The 19,095-nt window shown below is 46.0% G+C and overlaps 1 protein-coding gene across 46 annotated transcripts in view, besides 2 other annotated features; it reads left to right on the plus strand.

The window, feature by feature from the left end:
• The window catches only part of NAV2 (neuron navigator 2), a 776,366-nt gene that overhangs the window by 644,260 nt on the left and 113,011 nt on the right, over positions 1 to 19,095 (plus strand). The gene's annotated exons all lie outside the window — the stretch shown is intronic.
• Positions 10,306 to 11,175: an enhancer, noted in NCBI's record as "OCT4-NANOG-H3K27ac-H3K4me1 hESC enhancer chr11:20021347-20022216 (GRCh37/hg19 assembly coordinates)". NCBI's record gives its function as "activates a minimal SCP1, AML or CMV promoter by ChIP-STARR-seq in naive and primed H9 embryonic stem cells {active_cell/tissue: H9 hESC(naive and primed)}" and the evidence as "EXISTENCE:reporter gene assay evidence [ECO:0000049][PMID:30033119]".
• Positions 11,176 to 12,044: an enhancer, noted in NCBI's record as "OCT4-NANOG-H3K27ac-H3K4me1 hESC enhancer chr11:20022217-20023085 (GRCh37/hg19 assembly coordinates)". NCBI's record gives its function as "activates a minimal SCP1, AML or CMV promoter by ChIP-STARR-seq in naive H9 embryonic stem cells {active_cell/tissue: H9 hESC(naive)}" and the evidence as "EXISTENCE:reporter gene assay evidence [ECO:0000049][PMID:30033119]".

Raw genomic sequence — 19,095 nt, forward strand, 5'->3', positions numbered from 1 at the left:
CTGTGAGCTAATCAATTTTTTTTGTTTTTAGCTACTAAGTTTATATTAACTTGTTATGGCAATAGAAAACTGACATAAACTTATGTCAGCAATAGAAAACGAATATAAACTTATATCAGAAGGTAATAAAACCAGTAATAGTTGCCATTTCCTGATGGGTTGCTCTATGCCAGGAACTGTGTCAAGCACCTTGCAAATATTATCTCATTTACCCCTGACCCTTTGAGAGGAGATGTTATCCTGGTTTCATAGATTTGAAGCAGTGGTGCTCAGAGAGGGTGAGTAAACGTGCCCAGGGTTACACACCTAATGAGTGTCCAAGCTGGGATTCAAACCCAGGCCTGTCTGATCACCCCCCAAATCCTCCGGTCGCCTAACATACTGCTTCTTTTAGGGAGCTCTCTTTGTAGAGATTCCCTAATTTTGAGTTCTTACCATGGTATCGTCTCTTCAAATGAGCCCTTAGCCACTGAAAATACAAGCAATGCCCAAACAGCTGGAAAAGTGAACTCTGTCCTTCAGAGACAATGCAAAATGATTCACATTAAGAGGAAAAAGGGAATAGTTCTTGACTTGTCTCCCTCCCAGACCTGTTGCACATGGACCGTGCGAGTGGGCTTGCCCTCACCCCTTTTCTCATCACTGTTCTCAGACTTCAAGGAAAAGGTCCTTTCTTACACAGAGCTGGGCCAGTTGCCTCCTTGGCCTTCTTGCAAGTTTAGAAAAGGGATGCCCATTTGTGAATTCTGACTTATTGCAATTTTTGTATTGTTAGTTGAGGGAGGAGCCTGCAATGTCAAGATCACAGGTCAGGGGTGATGCTTCCCTTTAGTGAGCTAGGAATTCCAAGGCCACCAGATCTGCAGAGATTCTGCAGTCATTCAAAAACTTTTCTCTCCTGGTCTTGGCTAACCACTACATGGACCCTTAAGCAATTGCTAGAGGTTCTCTACCCAGAGCTTGGGGATCTGTAGGGCCTCCAGAGGCTGGGACCATGGTTTAAGAAGGGCACCCTAAAATACCTTCCCCCTCCCCCCATTACCTCCCCTCTCTACTTGTTATGTACGGTCTGTTCCTAATCTTCCCACCGTCATCAAGTAAAGCAAAGGTGATCTCTCCTCTTTGACCACTAATCCCACTTCATACAATCTCTAGCTGCCAGTATTTGAGCCTTATCTCCCCTACATACATGTGGTAGAGGTGAGAGAATCTAGATCTGTGCTGCCTACTATAATGGCCACCACTATTTAAAATTAATGAAAATTAACTAAAAGTTTGGTTTCTTAATCACACTAGCCTCATTTCCAGTACTCAAAAGTCCCATGTGGCCAGTGCTCTCCTAGACAAAGAACAATTCCCACACTGTAGAAAACTCTTTTGGACAGCACTGATAGAAACCATCACAGTTATATTGCCAAGGAAGCTATAAAGAAAAGATGTGAGTTTTGCTGTAAACATGCCCTAATTCCAGTCCTCACTCTCCATGTCACTTAACTGCCCTGAGTTTAGGTTTTTGTCTCTGAAATGAGGGCAGTATTCATACCTGTCTCACAGGACTGTTGTGAGGATCAAATGAGGTGAATGAGGGTGGTGAAAGTGTTTTTGCGAAGCACCTAAGACAAATATTTTATTTTTATTTTATTTTTTGAGACAGTGTTTCACTGGCCCCATCACCCAGGCTGGAGTGCAATGGCATGATCTTGGCTGACTGCAACCTCCACCCCGGCTCAAGTGATTTTCCTGTCTCAGCCTCCCAAGTAGCTGGGATTACAGGTGCATGCCACTGCACCCGGCTAATTTTTGCATTTTTGTAGAGACAGGGTTTCACCATGTTGCCCAGGCTGGTCTCAAAATCCTGAGCTCAAGTGATCTGCCTGCCTCAGCCTCCCAAAGTGCTGGTATTACAGGTGTGAGCCACTGTGCCAAGCCTCCAAGATAAATACTCTAATTCTTAGGTCCTGCAAGCTACTTAGGACAATCTAGGCTCTACCTCGTTGCAACTCACTTTTCTTTATATTTAATTAATTAGCTCATAATTAACCCCTTTTATTTCTATAACAGCTTATAATAACTGCATTTAATAAAAAGAACAATTATAAAATAAACGAGTATAGCATTAAGACTGTGGGGAAATGATGTGCAAAATATGATGTGCAAAAAAAGGTAAAAATAGAGAACACGGATTGATGAAACACAACCCGTGTTTCATCCCACATGGTTGCATTTTTTAGTAATTCAGCATTGAGCTTCCTACTGGCCCAAGTGAGAATGAACTTGTCCTTGCTTTTCCCTCCTTCCTTCATGACTTCTCTCGTATTATTTTGTCTTCATCTTTTCTTGCTAGGGTCAATCAATTGACCCTCTCTCTGACTCTCTGTTATTCTTTACCTCTCATTCCCAGCCCTTCCCCTCTCTTCCTCTTTCATTTTCCTTGCCTTCTCCTTTTGTCTGCCTTATAACTTTCTGTTATACTATTAGTGCCCCTGAGCATTTTTCAGTCCTGCATTCAAGAGTTATACTCATTGTCTTGGGATGAGAAGATGCTTCCAGCACAGTGGCCAGCATTAACGATCTTCACTGGTTTCTTTCCATCCCCTTTCCTCTTCTCCTAGTTGTGTATAACAACTAGAAACAAAGTAAGAGACAGTGAAAGTCATTTTCATTTTAAAGCTCATAAAAGGAGCCTTAGAGGCAAATGCCTGTTTCCTCAGTAGCAGGGTAATAATAACTACATTGGCCTTGCCCAAGAGGCTCTTTTATGCTAGTGCCACTACCTGTAGGATCAGTGGCTGGAGCCACAAGTGCTGAACAAGGGATGGTGCTGACAGGAAGTAAACCATCTGTAACTTAAACCACAGAGGAATTCTACCAGGGGGTTATAAAGAGAGGAGAAGGAATAGTCTGCAGAGTATCATTCTTGTGCATGCAGTGTTTTCACTTTAAAAAGGAAAGAGCTGTATGGTGGCCTCATGAGAATCTCTCATTCCCTAATGTTGCCCAACTTCATAACTTTGTTCCATAACTTTTTTACACTATAGTAAAAGCAGACCTGAGGGTCAGAGAGAGTATAATCATGCTCCTGAAGTACTTTTTTTTTTTTTTTTTTTTTTGAGATGGAGTCTCGCTCTGTTCCCCAGGCTGGAGTGCAGTGACACGATCTCAGCTCAATGTAACCTCTGCCTTCCAGGTTCAAGCGATTCTTCTGCCTCAGCCTCCTGAGTAGCTGGGATTACAGGTGCACACCACCATGCCCAGCTAATTTTTTGTTGTTGCTTTTTGGTAGAGACAGGGTTTTGCCATGTTGGCCAGGCTGGTCTTGAACTCCTGATCTCCGGTGATCCACCTACTCAGCCTCCCAAAGTGCTGAGATTACAGACATGAGCCACTGCGCCCCACCTGAAGTACATTTTCTAAAAATGGTAACTGTTCAACAGTTGTTTAAAGGTGATTGTTTAAACTTAATCATTGTTCAAAGTGTGGAGGAAAAGATGTCTAGCAATATGAAAGCAAGAATAAGAGGCCAAAGAGAAAGGCCAAGATGGGTCACCTTTCTCTATGCCAACTCCCCTGGTCACCCAAAGCATAGGCCCCAATCCCAAGTCAGAATTTGACTATATCTGTGCCCTGCAATAGAAAATAACTTCATGTGTTTTAATCTGGGTACCTGTGAATGTTTTTGTATGAGTCAGGATAGCATAGGTTATGCTGCATAACAAACAATTCTCAAAAAACTCTATTTGGCCATAACAGGTCAGTGGAAGGCTATTTGTACATCATTCTCACTCTGGGATCCAGAGTTAGAGGAACTACCATTTAGAGCATTGACAGTCTTCACTGCAAGAAGAAAGAGAGCATGGTGAACCACACACAGTTTCTTAAAGCTTCTGTCTGGAAATGACCCACGTAACTTTTCCTCATTATTGGCCAAAGGAAGTCACATGGCTACACTTAAATTCAAAGGTGAAGGGAAGTACAGTTATACCATATGCCTGCAAGGAGAACAGAAAATATGTAGTGAACTGCACTAATGACTATCATGCTTTTATCACATGCAAGTGAGTGCCTGTGCTTGATGTTTCCCCCCTCCCCCCGTTATTTAACCAACGCCTTATCATGCAGTTCATCACGTATTTACTGCATGCAGTAATATCAGATGCCAGGCATTATGCCACCCAGTCTGATCACATGGCCTCTGGTAGCTCCTCTGGGTGGAGAAGAGTGAGCAGGTAAAATTGTCTTCTTGGTAGATGAAGGAACATAATAGTTGAGTTGGTTAAGGAATTTTATTCAATGCTATGAGTCAGTTGTATTTCAACAAAGTATATGGACCATGTTTTCATATGTAATGGCTCATAGAAAATGCTGGTGATTGTTTAGAATTTACTGAGCACCTACTATGCAACGGGCTCTTGGGATCCAAGGATGAGTGGGATGTAGTCCCTGTACTCAAGAAGCTTACGATCAAGTAGAGAGAGAAAGACCTAAGTAAGCCATTGTAACGTGATGTGCCAAGTGCTATAGAGACTTTAACCATGTGCCTTGGGTGCAGAGAGGACCAGAAGCATCGGGGACTGCATATGGTCCTATACTGGGAACTTGCTGTTATCCTAATAAAATGCAGGAAATTTCCTTTTCCTGCCAGTGATGATGTGAAAGATCCTTTAGAAACATTACCCAAGTGTCCAATAGTCCTGCTTATCTCATCAACCATTTGGGATTTTCGTTTTATTTCCCTAAGTATCTTTTGTCATGTTGAAAGGTCAGCCTAGGGCCAGGCGTGGTGGCTCATGCCTGTAATCCCAGCACTTTGGGAGGCTGAGGCAGACGGATCACCTAAGGTCAGGAGTTCGAGGCTAGCCTAGCCAACATGGCAAAACCCCGTCTCTACTAAAAATACAAAAATTAGCTGGGCGTGGTGGCGGGCGCCTGTAATCCCAGCTGCGCAGCAGGCTGAGACAGGAGAATCGCTTGAACCGGGAGGTGGAGGTTGCAGTGAGCCCAGATCACGCCACTGCCCTCCAGCCTGGGCGACAAGAGCAAAAAACTCTGTCTCAAAGAAAAAAAAAAAAAAAAAGAGTAAAAAAAGAAAGGTCAGCCTAGCCATGATTTCTGTTACTGAAATGTAAGATCTGATTGAAATAAGCCCAGAATATAAGGCACTTACGGTGGCCTATGGAAAAGGGTCCCTGGTTTCACTATAACCTTTTGCATTTGTCATGCTGGACAGCTGTGACACCCAGAGTTGTAGTGAACCGATGTTTCTATCCAAGATTACTTTGTATATAAATGTATTTTCCCAGGGCTGTCTCTCCTCAGCCAGTTCACACCAGATAGAAGCTTTCAATGTCAAGGTTGGGTTTGTTCAGAATCATCAATTGTAGCCCTGTCATTTTGCCAATGAGGAAATTGAGATTGTTAGTAGCCCAGTGACTACTCTCTGTCCTCTAGCCTTCGGGGGTAAGGTCATCTCTTGGGTTTGGAAAGCATGAACTCTAAGTAACTCTGATGAAGGCACACATTATTTATTTGGTGATGATTATGAATGCAATCCAGGCGATAAGGAAAGGAGTGCAGTAGGAACCAAAAGACCTTGTTCTATACCTGGCTCTGCCACTAGTGAATTACCTTGGGCAAGATGCTTCCCCTCTCTGCACCTCTATTTGTTCATTTGTGTGGTCAGCCCAGCTGATCTTTAAGGTCCTTGAGCTCCTGTAAGTCAGTGTTCTTGTTTATTACTTGAAGGGCAGAGTTAACAGAATGACTCATGGGTATAGCTTATCCATGCAGGGCAGGGACTCTGTGAACTGTTTGTCTCTGACGGTGATGATGACATGTGTCTCATTTGATGGTATTTCAGTTAGGAGTCAGGTTCTTGCCCAAGGCCCTTCATGTGTACAACTCCAGCAGGCTGAGTGGCTTCTTGCAGCTGGCATGCCGTGGGGCCCCCTCTTGTGCAGGCAGCAGAGGAGAAGGCCTTAAGGTGTCCATTCTCGCTGTACTTCAAAGCTAAGCCTAGGGTAAGCTGTAATGCACTTCGAGGTGTTTGAGAGAGGTGGATAGCTGTTGTTGCTGATGGCAGGTAAAGAAGAATGTCTGGACCTGAAGAACCAGAATGAAATCTTCCCAAGGAGAAGTGCAAAGAGGACAGCTGCGGTGGAGAGTGGTGGGGTCTTGGACTTTTCTGATGCTTTGGAGAAAATCTGCTATTATACATTGCAATGGATTTTGTTCTAATTGGAGCTTCACCAAAATTATATTCAGAGATGACACTCATGAAATTGTAGTCTTGTTTTCATTGAGATAACAAAATTCCAAGTAACTGAATTGTTTTTATTTTTTTTGGGTGCTTTGACTCAGGATTTAATCAGACTTGGATGAACGTTGTTCCCTAAATCAGCACTAATAGTGGGTGCTGCCTGTCCTGAGCAGGGCAGTGGTCAGCCTGGAGAATGGGCAATGTCAGGTCATTTGGAGGGACTCTCCTATGCTGTGATTTTTCATGCAGTTGACAGGCTTTGCATGGTACTCCTGAGTGTCAGAGGACAAAACAGCTCTTGGAATGAGTTGTAAGTTACACAAGGAAAGGATAGGCTTACAAATAAGGAAAATAAGGCTCAGAAAGGTGACATTTCTTCCCCAAAGCCACAGTGCTATAAGGGGCAAAGTTAGGATTTGAATTAAGGTCTCTCTGGCCACAAAACTTCTGCTTTTAATCATTGTGCTTGCCTCCCTCTTTGTTTAAAGAGTCAGTTGTTATCCTTCCAAAAAGCAAACCTTGTTTAGACCTATATGAGTAATAAGTGAGCATCCCCTAGGGCCTAGCACCAACTGAGGTGCTTGCAAAGCCACTGCATCTGGATTTCTGACCTTTAAGCCAGTCCGCCTTCCAGGTATCATTTTCCCCATCTGGGAGGCTCAGCAAAAAGAAAGCCCAAGAGTGTGGCTCAGGCTCAGGCCAAGCTCTGCTATTGCTGAGGGAATTCTATCCTTTACTTAAGAAGATCTTAGGGATGCTTGAAGCTGTGAGTATAATATTTTTCTCTGAAGGACATTTAACTGTTTTATTGCCAGAACCCCCAGCTGAGGCTTCAGAGTTTCCCCTGTCATGTTGATCACACCAGTTGACCTTCAGGGTCTGTCTTCCATTGCCTCCTCTAGGAGCAGCCTCTGCTGTAAACCCCTGTGGCTGTTTTGCGTCTCAGTAATGCAGAAAGAAGAGGCTAGCCTTGTGTGTTTCAGCTGCAGTCCTGTTATTTTCGCTCGTCCACTGTGCTCTTTGATTTATCTTCCTCATTAATCTGTGGCGCTCAGTACTGTAAAATTGCCTGAAACGAGATCTGAAGAGAGACCCTGACATTTTGAGGGATGTTGCAGGATTGTGTGGAGGAGATTAAATGGGGACAGAGGGAAATGAGGTGGCTGCATGGCTCAGTGGGCTCAAACCTCCAACTTGAGGATTTCTATTGGTACCTCTTTCTTTAGCTGACCCTGAGGTTTGGAGAGAGAGACTCACAAGCCTACGGTTTCTGTACTGGCAAAATAAGGCTTGAAAAAAATTCTCCCTGGCCGCTTATTTGAGTTGCCTGGACATTGCTTGTGGGCAACCTATGAGTATGCAGTAATTGAAGCCCTAGAGAAGATGTGAACAGAACCACAGGCCATTGTAGTCTGGGTAGGAGTCTGTCATGTCACCTCCTATGGGGTGCAAAGTTTGACACTAGAAGGTGAGTGCAGGGACGACTTTGGGTGCCCTACACCTAACCAGAAGCTGGTGGAGCACTATGTGGGGAGATGTTGGTGGGCCTCCAGGGCCCCTCCAACTTGTGGAAGAGTTTTGTGGAGAGAATAGGTTCATTTTTCCATTGTCAGTGTGGTAGCAACTCATGAGAGCTCTGGGTACACCAGAAACAGAGGCTCCTTGGGAGGCTGCTTAAACTCTACCGTAGGACTCTTGACAGTTTGGGATCAGTGGTCCTAGTCTGAATTTCATCATCAAAAACAACAATTTTCATTCACTGAGCACCTGCTATGTTCTAGGTGTTCTCCTAGGTACTCTACATACTAGCTTTAACCTCCCAGAGGACTTACCACATCAGGAATTATCCATATTTCACAAATAAGGAATCCTGGCTCAGTGAGCTTATGTGACTTGCTCAGGGTTACATAGGCAGAGAGTGGCAGAGCTTGAATTCTAACTTAGGGCTGTCTGGCTCTAAAGCCAGTGTTATATCAGAGACACCAGGCTGCCCCATCTCTAAAAGGGGAGGGCAGGCCGCTGTTGACTAGTCGGTAGATCCAGCACCAAGAATAATCAGGAAAAGCTTCCTGGCATCCTTTACGTTATCCAGGGAATCCCGACTCATGGTCCATGGCTGGCTATAGCCCTGCCTTCCACACTCCTCCCTCCACCCCAGGTAGGATCCTCTGGGGGCTCTCATCTATCCGGGGTCTCTCCATAACCATGTTTTGTTCTCTGGTAGCCCTTAACATGCCTTTGGAACAATAAGCTCCTAGGTATGGTCTCCCCCAAGACTGAGAGGAAGGAAGCAGAACAAAAGTGTGTTTTTCTCAGCATTCCCAGGCTTTGCACAGAGCTGGGCATATACAGTAGGAGACGTTTGCTATATTTTAGGTAATTAATATTATCCTAAGATAATTGATAAGACTGACTGAAGAGTTTTCCTCCCCCTTTTCCTTCCAGTCGGCAAACTCCCCCCAAACAGTTTCAAATCTCTCAGCTTCTCTCTGTCTCTGTGTTTCTCCCTGTCTCTCTGCTTCTCTCTCTCCCTCTCTCCGCCCACCTCCCTCTCCTTCTCTCTCATTGGCCATGGTGCAGGGGTCTAGGCTGCCGTCCTCTCTCATCTGAGCTCTCCCACTGCAGCCTTCCAGGCCCACTGTACCCACCAGGGCCTTCATGCGGTACGTTCTCCACCCAGAAGCTATTGTAACCTTAACATATACATCAGATCTCCTCTGCCCTTGCCTGAAACCCTCCCTTAGTGCCTTTCCATTGCACCTAGAATAAAGGTCAGACTCCTTGCCGTGGCCTCCAAGGGGGTGTGTGTTCTGGCCCCTGCGCACCTCTCCAGCCTCACCTCATCACGCTTTACCTCCCTGACTCCTGCCTTCATCCATTCCCCTGGACGTGCCGGATCTTCTCTTTCGTCAGAAGCTTTGCACATACTGTCCCCTCTGCATAGACTGTGCTTCCCCCCCTCTCTCCTTTTCTCCTTATAAGCCTGGCTTATTCTCTTCCTTCAGGTCTCAACTCAAACTTCACCACTTAGAGAGGCTGCTACTGACCACTCAATCTAAAGAAAGTTTCAGCTGTTGGTTTCTTTTTGGAAACTGTTTATTTGACATCTCTTACTTTCATGTGTGTTAATTTTTATTTATTTGCCTGTTATGTCTTTCCCACTAGACTATCAGTATCAATAAGACAGAAACCAGGTCAGCTCCGTTTGCAGGTGAATCCCCTCTCCCAGCACAGGGCCCGTCCAGAGAGGGTGCTTATTACATATACCATGAAGGAATAAATGACTGCCAGGCACTGTGATGCAGGGCTGATGTGCAAAATGTTTAAAACCAGTGTGCTTCTGGTGCCAACCAACCAGAATAGGGCACTAGCCAATAACCAGAACAGGGCTGTGACCCATTAGAAAGGGGCATCAGTCGGCTGTAAGCCACTCATGCCTGGCATAAATCAACCCTGCTGTTGTGGCACACAGTGAACCCACCCACTCAGTCCTCAGCCAGTCCTCAAAGAGAGATAACCATGGCCCAACTTGCCTTCAAAAAAATCGGGTTATTCATGTTCAGGAACTTCTCTTGTGGGAGACTGACTGGTTTAACCCAGTCTATTATTGCTTTGGGAAAATGTGGGGTTTTTTTGGATGGAGTTTTGCTCTTGTCACCCAGGCTGGAGCACAATGGCGCAATCTCAGCTCACTGCAACCTCAGCCTCCCGGATTCAAGCAATTCTCCTGCCTCAGCCTCCCCAGTAGCTGGGATTACAGGCACCCGCCACCATGCCTGGCTAATGTTTTTGTATTTTTAGTAGAGATGGGGTTTCACCATGTTGGCCAGGCTGGTCTCAAATTCCTGACCTCAGGTGATCAGCCCATCTCGGCCTCCCAAAGTGCTGGGATTACAGGCGTGAGTCACCGCACTGGGCCAGGAAAAATGATTTTAACCTATGTGACACTCTTACAAGTTCAGATGCTGACTGTGCTGCTACGTAGAGGTCAGTTAACCATCCTGAGCCCCCATGTCTTCATCGGGCTGCTGTGAAGATTAAATGAGACAGTGCCAGGCACAAGGTTAGCACAGTGCCTGGTCCAGTCAGTGCCCTTGATCAATGGCAGCAATTTTTATTTAGTCATGATCAGAATGCTGATTTCACAGATAAGGAAAGTGAGGCACAGAAAGTCTAAGATACCTAAATCGGCCAGGATATACATGTGGGTCCTCTCAGCCCCAGGTCCAGCACCGTGGCCACTGGCCTGTGTCACCTCCATGGTGCAGTGTCCCCTTCTCTTTGTGATCTGCTTTGGGAGGTCTCACTCAGCTCTTATTCCCTGACCTCTGTCCTTGGGGAACTCTGGCAATGAAAAAAAGGCAGAAGATATTTAAGGCCTGAGACCCTGATGGATAACTGGCAAAACCCGAAGTAGTTAACACGCTCCACATCCTGGCAGGAGGTCTCAATCTTTGGAACTGGCAGACTAACCACCGTGTAACAACATCAGAGGTGCAAACCTGTTAAAATCCCCAGCAAAGGTCTTGAAACAGAACATGAAAGGGTTTATGACCCTGTGGATTTGAACTTCTCATGGAGCCAAGCTATAATTCCAGCTCTGTTTTTGGAAGTAAAGATCAGAACCATAATTTGAGGAGGGCCTCAGAGCATGCACTTATTATGTTTCAGGACACAAGCTGTGGGATGAAGCTGCCTGGGGGAGGGCCCGGGGTACCGACCAGGAAGGGGTGTGGAGGGTGTGAGGAGAGTAAAGCAGGGTGTCTAGCTGAGGCAATTAAATGTACTTGCTTCTCAGTTTAAACAAAGGCCTCAAGGAAACCTCCCAGAGGGCTGCGTTCTTAATGATCTGGAATAAAGGGGTAGTGAGCAAAGCCAGCAAGCTGGGGGAGCTAATGGGAGCCCTGGCCTTGAATGTCCCTGCAGGAAGTCAGCTAGGGAGGCTTCTGTACACAAGCAGCACTTGTCATGCTAATGACCCAGCCTCTCTGGTGCCACAGAGGTCAGCTCTGAGACTTCAGGTTTGAGCTCCACTGGAGAGCTGGGACGAACGCTTCCTCTCCCTCCCTCATCCACTGCTCTGTAGCACGTCCTTGTGTGCTGCGGTTCCTGGCACTGTCTCTCTGCTCTCACTGCTACTGTCCTGCTGTGCCCGTCCTGTTACCCAGCGCATCATCCCAGCACAGCCACAGTGATCCTCCTGAAATGCAGATCTGATCCTGTGTGCCACCTGCCTGCTGAAAACCCTTTGTGGCTCTGTGTCACATACAGGATAAAGTGCAAGCCTCAGAGATGACCCTCCAGCCTTGGCCCCTGCTATCACACCCGCCTCGTCCCCAACATCTAAGCCGGCTGCACCAAACACTTGGCAGTCTCTAGCACGCTCCGGGGTATTGTAAACCTCCATGCCTTTGCCCCCTGGGATGCCCTCTCCTGACCCTTCTTTGCCAGGCTAACACATCCTCTTCCTGGATTCAGCTCCAATGCCCACTTCTAGGCATCTCAGGCCTAGTAAGTCCCTTCCTCAGGGCTCCCAAAGGACCCCGTGCTATCCTTTATTTTAAGTCTAACCAAATCTTTACCTTCTTTTTTCCTATTTTCCCTGTTGCTTGGCTTGAAGACAGGGATTATCTTATTTATCACTGGGTTTTCAGGACCCAAAAATATGATGTCTGCCACATAGTCGGTGCTCATTCAGCACTTACTGAAATGAACTCCAGTTTTAGATGGATGGGTTATCTCTCTCCATCCAGAGACCTTGGCTTTTTCACTATGAACACTGTTGTTTTTCTCACTCTCAGGACTGTCTCAGCCCTTAGCACAGTGGGTGACACAGAGTAGGTCTTCAGTAAACATCAGGGCAAGCCACCGCATGTTCTCACTCATAGGTGGGAATTGAACAATGAGAACACTCGGACACAGGAAGGGGAACATCACATACTGGGGCCTGTTGTGGGGTGGGGGGAGGGGGGACGGAAAGCATTAGGAGATATACCTAATGTAAATGTCGAGTTAATGGGTGCAGCACACCAACATGGCACATGTATACATATATAACAAACCTGCACATTGTGCACATGTACCCCAGAATCTAAAGTGTAATAAAAAAAAAAATCAGGGCAAGCCTCCCTGAGATGATGTGGGGGTGTGGCTGTCCCACCTGTTTTAATCCATTCAGGCTGCTATAACAAAGTAGCACACATTGTGTGGCTATAAGCAACAGGCACTTCTTTCTCACAGTTCTGGAAGCTGGAAGTCCAAGGTCAGGATGCCGGCATGGTCGAGTTCTGATGAAGGCCCTCTTCTGGGCTGCAGAAATTCGGACTTCTACTTGTACGTTCACATGGCAGAAAGAGGGCAAGCTAGCTCTCTGGGATCCTTTTTATTAGGCACTAACTTCACTCACAAGGGCTCTGTCTTCATGACTAATCACCTTCCAAAGACTCCACCTCTAAACACTATCGCATTGGGGGTTAGATTTCAATGTGAATTTGGGGCATGGGAAGGGGAATTCAGTCCCTAACACCTCTCATCAGGCATAGTACTTGCTGGGAACTCCTTGTGTAAGAGGTGCTTTGGGGACACAGAGGCCTGGAGTGGAGCCTTTTTCAAAGATCCCAAAGCCCTCTCTCTATCTCAGAGATCAGGTCGTGAGCGACTAAAGGAAGGGACAGCGCAGTCAGGGAGATGTCAGTGCGTTCAGATTCAGAGGGCAGAACAAGAGCACTGTAGCATGGGTCAGAAGGAAGGCTTCCTGGAGGTGGTAGGCTTTTAGCTGGACCTTGGAAAACAGGTGGGAGTTATAGGTGGTGAGGGAGAGAAACAGCAGTCCCGGTTTGGTAGAAAGGAAGACAGAATGTGCGGGAGGGATGGAGAAAAGAGACTGAGCCTGGGGAGTTTTGTTCTCTGGGAAATCCTATCGTTGAAGGCCAACCACTTGTTTTCCAGGCCAGTAGGTGCCCCACTCTGATACTCAAAGCCACTGTAATAGCCACCTCCGGTAGCTGTGTTCCACTGTGCCCTTCAGAAGTAACCTACCCCAGCGCCCCTGGAACTGTCTGTGTCAGGGGTCAGCCTTGTGTTCTTGGAGAGAAGCCTTCCAAAAACAGACTCTGATAGGTTGAAGCAAATAGCTGACTTATTCATAGATGCCCTGGGGCTCACAGTATTAGAACTGGCCACCTCCTAATGATTAAACACTACACAAACACCCAGTGACCAGATTACCCCACCATAAATGGGCTGTAAACCAGAGTGGACAGTGGCTGTTCCACCAACTGGGAGGAAGCGAGGCTACAGAAATGCTTTCTGTCCTAAGCAACTAGCCCTTCAGGCAGAGCCCAGAAAACAAACGCAGACCTTTCCTGCACCCTGGGAGGGAAGTCGGAGAGGGGAAAGGTGGGATTCTGAGGTCACTGAGAGTGGAAAATGACAAGTACCTCCCTCCCCTCCCCTGTGCTAGGTGCTCTAAACATGCTGCACATTAACTTACATCATAACCTGGTGAGAACTGGCAATTGATCAGGATGGATTCGGATGACATCTGTATTGAGGGTCTATTTTATCTGCATATCCATTTATGAGGGGAAAAACTATGGCCACTACCCTTAAGTTAGTTGATACAGCTGATTCAGAGAGACTAGGTCTTTTGTCCGGAATCACACAGCAAGCAAGTGACTAGAAACAGGACCAGAATCCGGGTCCTCTGACCCTGCAATACAAGCCTTCTCCATTATCTGAAATGATTATACTGAGCGACTCCCAGGGGTAAATGACTCAGCGTGCCAGGTGTGGGACACTGCCTCTCTTGTTCTACCCACACCCACTTCCCTCCATCTCTAAGTTAGTTCTACTTGAGTTCAGCAGGTAAAAGAATCACCCCTGCTCTGGTTTGTTGCCTCTCCAGGAAGGAAGCAACTGGACCCTATTGGTGGGAAAGGTGAGAGATTCACATCCACCTACCTGCACACCTCCCACTGTTCTGGACAGGCCAGACCAGGGCTGTGGGCATGAAGCAGACCCTCACCAGTCTCTAAGAGCTGGGGATGAGAACAAAGCCCTTCCTTATTGCTAGCCTGAATTATTGGGATCTGTTGCTCTTATTCTTCAGTAAGAAAAACAGCCATTCTGTTCATTGGATTTGGATGTTCTAGCTTCTGGTTTTGTTAAATTGTTAATAATACTATCTATTTCTAGTTACTGCTAGAAAGTATGGAAGGCTCATGTGAGTTCAGGAATATTTGAGAAGAAAACATCTTAGGAAAATTGCATCCAGTCTGCATAAGCCCGTTCTCTTAACTTGCTGGTGAACTCCTGAAAATTGGTTCCCAAACACCAGGGGTCTTTAAACTCCAGAGATGGAGACACCTCCTGACCATCCAGAAGCTCACCTGGAATTCCTAGTAGCAGATGTTATTACACTGGTCCTACATTTCCCTCCATATCACCTCAAAAGGCTTAATTTGCTATTTTGTATGTTCACCAGAACAGTTAGAATTGTGATGCCAAAAGGTGGTAAGCTTGCCAGGCTAAAATATCCTCAGGAGGAATCTTTAATTTCACAATCCATGTTTCTGGTGTAATCCACACCTTTTTTGTGCTTCAGTTTCCCTTTCTGTCAAATGGGCATGTAAAGTCCTGGTCTCTCCTCTCCCCACTGCCGTAAGTCAATACTGGCGAGGAGCTTACAGCACCCCTAGGAACCCAGGGGCATTGTAAATGCAGGGCTCTGGCCAGAGAAGCCTGGCTTCTCTCTGCTGCCACTGAAGAAGTGACTGCAGTGGGCTCTGATGCTGGGCAGTTTTGGTATTCTGATCAGGTTACAGTGACTTTTTTCAGAGGGGCTCAGTCCTGCCATTCTCACATAAATTCCCTCTCCCTCCCAGTGCCTTAGTGTAACTTAAGGGGGTGCTGAAAGAAGATAGCACCTAAATCCACTGGGTTGCTTTTCACATTACAAACATGAAGCCCTCATCATGGACTACACTGGCCTTGGTTGTTGTTCCAGACACCACCAGATGTGTTTTAGGGAGTCAGGGTTTCTCGTCTGCCATTCCTTTTTTCCAATCCTTCTTTTGGTGCAAGACCTTGAACCCAAGGCAGTATAGCACAGTGGTTAAGAGCAAAGGCTCCAGAATAGGGTTCAGCTCAAATCCCAGCTCAGTCACTTGCTAACCAGTGAATGACTTGGAGTAAATTAATGCAGATAGTAAGAAGTGCTTCTTGGTGGAGTTGTGAGGCTTACTTGCGATAATCCCAATAAACAATAGCTATTATTGGGAAGGAAGTTTAAGCTCCAAGGCAGAGCAGGAACGGAAGTGTCTTCTGATTCATTCTCACTGGCCCACAAGCTCTCTGACAATAGAGACCCTTTCTGTCTGTCTTAACACTTTAAAGCCAAGGCCTGAGAAGAAACTGCCACACGATAGAAGTTCAATAAATGTTTGAGAACAATTTCAATCCCAAGTGATTCTGCTGAGTTTTAATCATATATATATATATATTTTTTTTTTTTTTTGAGATGGAGTCTTGCTCTGTTGCCCAGGCTGGAGTACAGTGGCACAATCTCAGAGGAACCTCTGCTTCCCGGGTTCAAGCAATTCTCCTCTCTCAACCTCCTGAGCAGCTGGGACTACAGGCGTCTGCCACCAAGCCCAGCTAATTTTTATATTTTTAGTAGAGATAGGGTTTCACCTTGTTAGCCAAGCTGGTCTTCAACTCCTGACCTCAGGTGATCCATCTGCCTCAGCCTCCCAAAGTGCTGGGATTATAGGCTTGAGCCACTGCACCCAGCCCAGTCATTCTTTAAAAAAAAGAAAAAAAAAAAAAACGAGAAATGAGTCCTATCTGTAATAAGACAGATTTTCAATAAGGAGAGGAATACAGGGACAGGGAATCAACATTTCTGTGCACTTCATTGTGCCAGGCAGTGAGCTGAATGCTCAAAGTATTTCATCTCACTTCACCCTTCAGAACTCCTGCAAGGCTGGTGTGTCCTTCACTTTTCATGCCAGAAAACTGAAATGAGGCTCAGAGAAGTGAACTTGCCTGAGGTCGGACAGCTGGGTAAGCTAGAATAATAGTAGAAGTAGTAATAGCAGCAGCAGCAGCTAACATGTATGTAGCATACACTGTGAGCCAGACACTTTACCTAAATTGACTCATTTAATCCTCATGACAACTCAGTGAGATTTCATCATTTTAAAGATGAGGGAACCAGCTGACTGCAGTGGCTCACGCCTGTAATCCCAGCATTTGAGAGGCCGAGGCGGGTGGATCACCTGAGGTCAGGAGTTCCAGACCCTGTTACTCCCTGTTCCTGGGAATATTCACTCAGAATCTGGAAAACTGTATATCCCCGACATTACAGAAGGGGTTCCTGCGTGAGGTGAGAAGGAGACAGAGAGGTGATCTTTCAAAGGTCTTTCAGTTGTATGATTCAGGGTGTCCAGGTTCCCATAGGGATCATTAGGGTTTGATTATAGACAAAGCAGACTGGGTATTGTATTCTGGAGATAAGGGCCTCCTTGGAAAGCCAGGTTCCCACAGGTCATGCCAGCCTGGGGGTGGTAGCAGAGGCACCAAAGATGTTTCTTCTGAAAAATGTTTAACCCATGCCTCCTTCTATTAAATATAAAAATTGTGGCCGAATGCAGTGGCTCACACATGTAATCCCAGCACTTTGGGAGGCTGAGGTGGGTGGATCATGAGGCCAAGAGATCAAGACCATCCTGACCAACATGGTGAAACCCCGTCTCTACAAAAAATACAAAAATTAGCCAGGTGTGGTGGCAGGTGCCTATAATCCCAGCTACTTGAGAGGCTGAGGCAGGAGAATCACTTGAACCCGGGAGGCGGAGGTTGCAGTGAGCCAAGATCGCACCATTGCACTCCAGCCTGGGCGACAAGAGCAAAACTCCATCTCAAATAAATAAATAAATAAATAAATAAATTAGCCAGGCATAGTGGCACATGCCTGCAGTCCTAGCTAGTCAAGTGGCTGAGATGGGAGGATCACTTGAGCCTGGGAGATTGAGGCTGCAGTGAGTTGTAATCATACCACTGCATTCCAGCCTGGGCAACAGAGCAAGACCCTATCTCAAAAAGAAAAACAACAGAGGACCAAGGTACAAAAATGCAAAATAATTTGCACATAATTGGTGGTAGAGCTGAGACTGGACCCTGGTTTCTAAAGATCATTTTCTTCTTTTTTTTTTTCTTTGGAGACAGTGTCTCACTCTTGTCACCCAGGCTGGAGTACAGTAGCACAATCTCAGCTCACTGCAACCTCCGCCTCCCAGGCTCAAACAATCCTCCCACCTCAGCCTCCAGAGTAGTTGGGACTACAGGTATGCACCACCATGCCCGGCTAATTTTTGTATTTTTTGTAGAGACAGGGTTTCACCATGTCATCCAGTCTGGTCTTGAACTTCTGGACTCCACGGCTTTGGCCCCTCAAAAGTGTTAGGATTACAGACTTGAGCCACTGTGCCCAGCCCATTTTTAGTAAGGGCTTTATTGGTGTAGTAAGGACTCCATAGGACTTTCTGAAACAGAAGAATTAGGTGATTAAGTAAAATGGTGGCACTGCTCTCTCTAACAGTTTTGAAAATGAGACTCTGTTCATATGCCCAGGATGTGTGAACAGAATTTTTCCTGGAGGTGCAGGGCAAGTTTGAGAGGACCTTTGAGTGGCCTTGAGGCTTTGCCTCATCTCTCCACATTGATTGGGTTGGCAGTATTTTCACTGAAGAAACTGATCTGCTTTTCTGTGGAGTGAAATGACAGGTTAGAAAGGCTCTCAAAGTCTAAATTTAGCCAGCACAGTGTATTCATGTGCTGTTTTGCACCCGGGTCACCAGGAGAAGATAGATTTGACAGGTTGGCTGGGGGACAAAAGCCAGCCCTTGAAGAAATCAGTTCTCCTTTGAAAGGTAAGTCAGACTAATTATTTTTCTCTATCAAGCCTGGTGTGTGAGCTCATTGATCAGCAGCTGCAATGGGAGAATGGAGTGGTGGTACTAGGAGGCACAACTGCCACCACTATGGGGCTTCAGCTGTAATCATCTTCCAAGATCAGCCAGTGGTACAGTAACTGCCTGCTATCCCCGCACACACTTTAGATCCTTTGCTTTATGATGCTGTTTTGGATTTGTAAAAACATTTTATGTTCACAAAAACAAAAAATATTTTTATAGAAGAGAACGTTATCATACTTTACCCCTTGTAGAAATCTTGTGAGACTGGTCATTGAGAGAGCCTTGTTTTATAGAGCAAAGTTGCAGAAACCAAATATTGCAGAACTGTCAGCCTGTGTATTTTAAGTTTAAATCAGGCCAGGCACGGTGGCTTATGCCTGTAATCCCAGCACTTTGGGAGGCCAAGGCGGGCAGATCACCTGAGGTCAGGAGTTCAAGACCGGCCTGGCCAACATGGTGAAACCCCATCTCTACTAAAAACACAAAAATTAGCCAAGTGTGGTGGCGTGTGCCTGTAATCCCAGCTACTAGGGAGGCTGAGGCAGGAGAATCCATGAGGCCGAGGTTGCAATGAGCCGAGATCGCACCACTGTACTCCAGCCTAGGTGAAAAAGTGAGACTGTCTCAAAAAAAAAAGTTTAAATCAGTGTATGTGTATGAATGCCTGTCATCTTCTCTGTCTTTTCTCTATCACTTTGACTCTTTTCAGCTACTTCTTGAGGTCCAAAAACTTCCAGAGAGCTTTTCCTGCCCCTTAACAGCCAAACAGAGACTTCAGGGACACAGCAAACAAGCATGCTTGCCATCAGCATCTTAAGCTTGACCCTTAGGATAGAGGCTCAGATGAAAGTCATTCACACC

The sequence above is a fragment of the Homo sapiens genome, chromosome 11 (genome assembly GCF_000001405.40).
Source record: "Homo sapiens chromosome 11, GRCh38.p14 Primary Assembly".
NCBI lineage: Eukaryota > Metazoa > Chordata > Mammalia > Primates > Hominidae > Homo > Homo sapiens.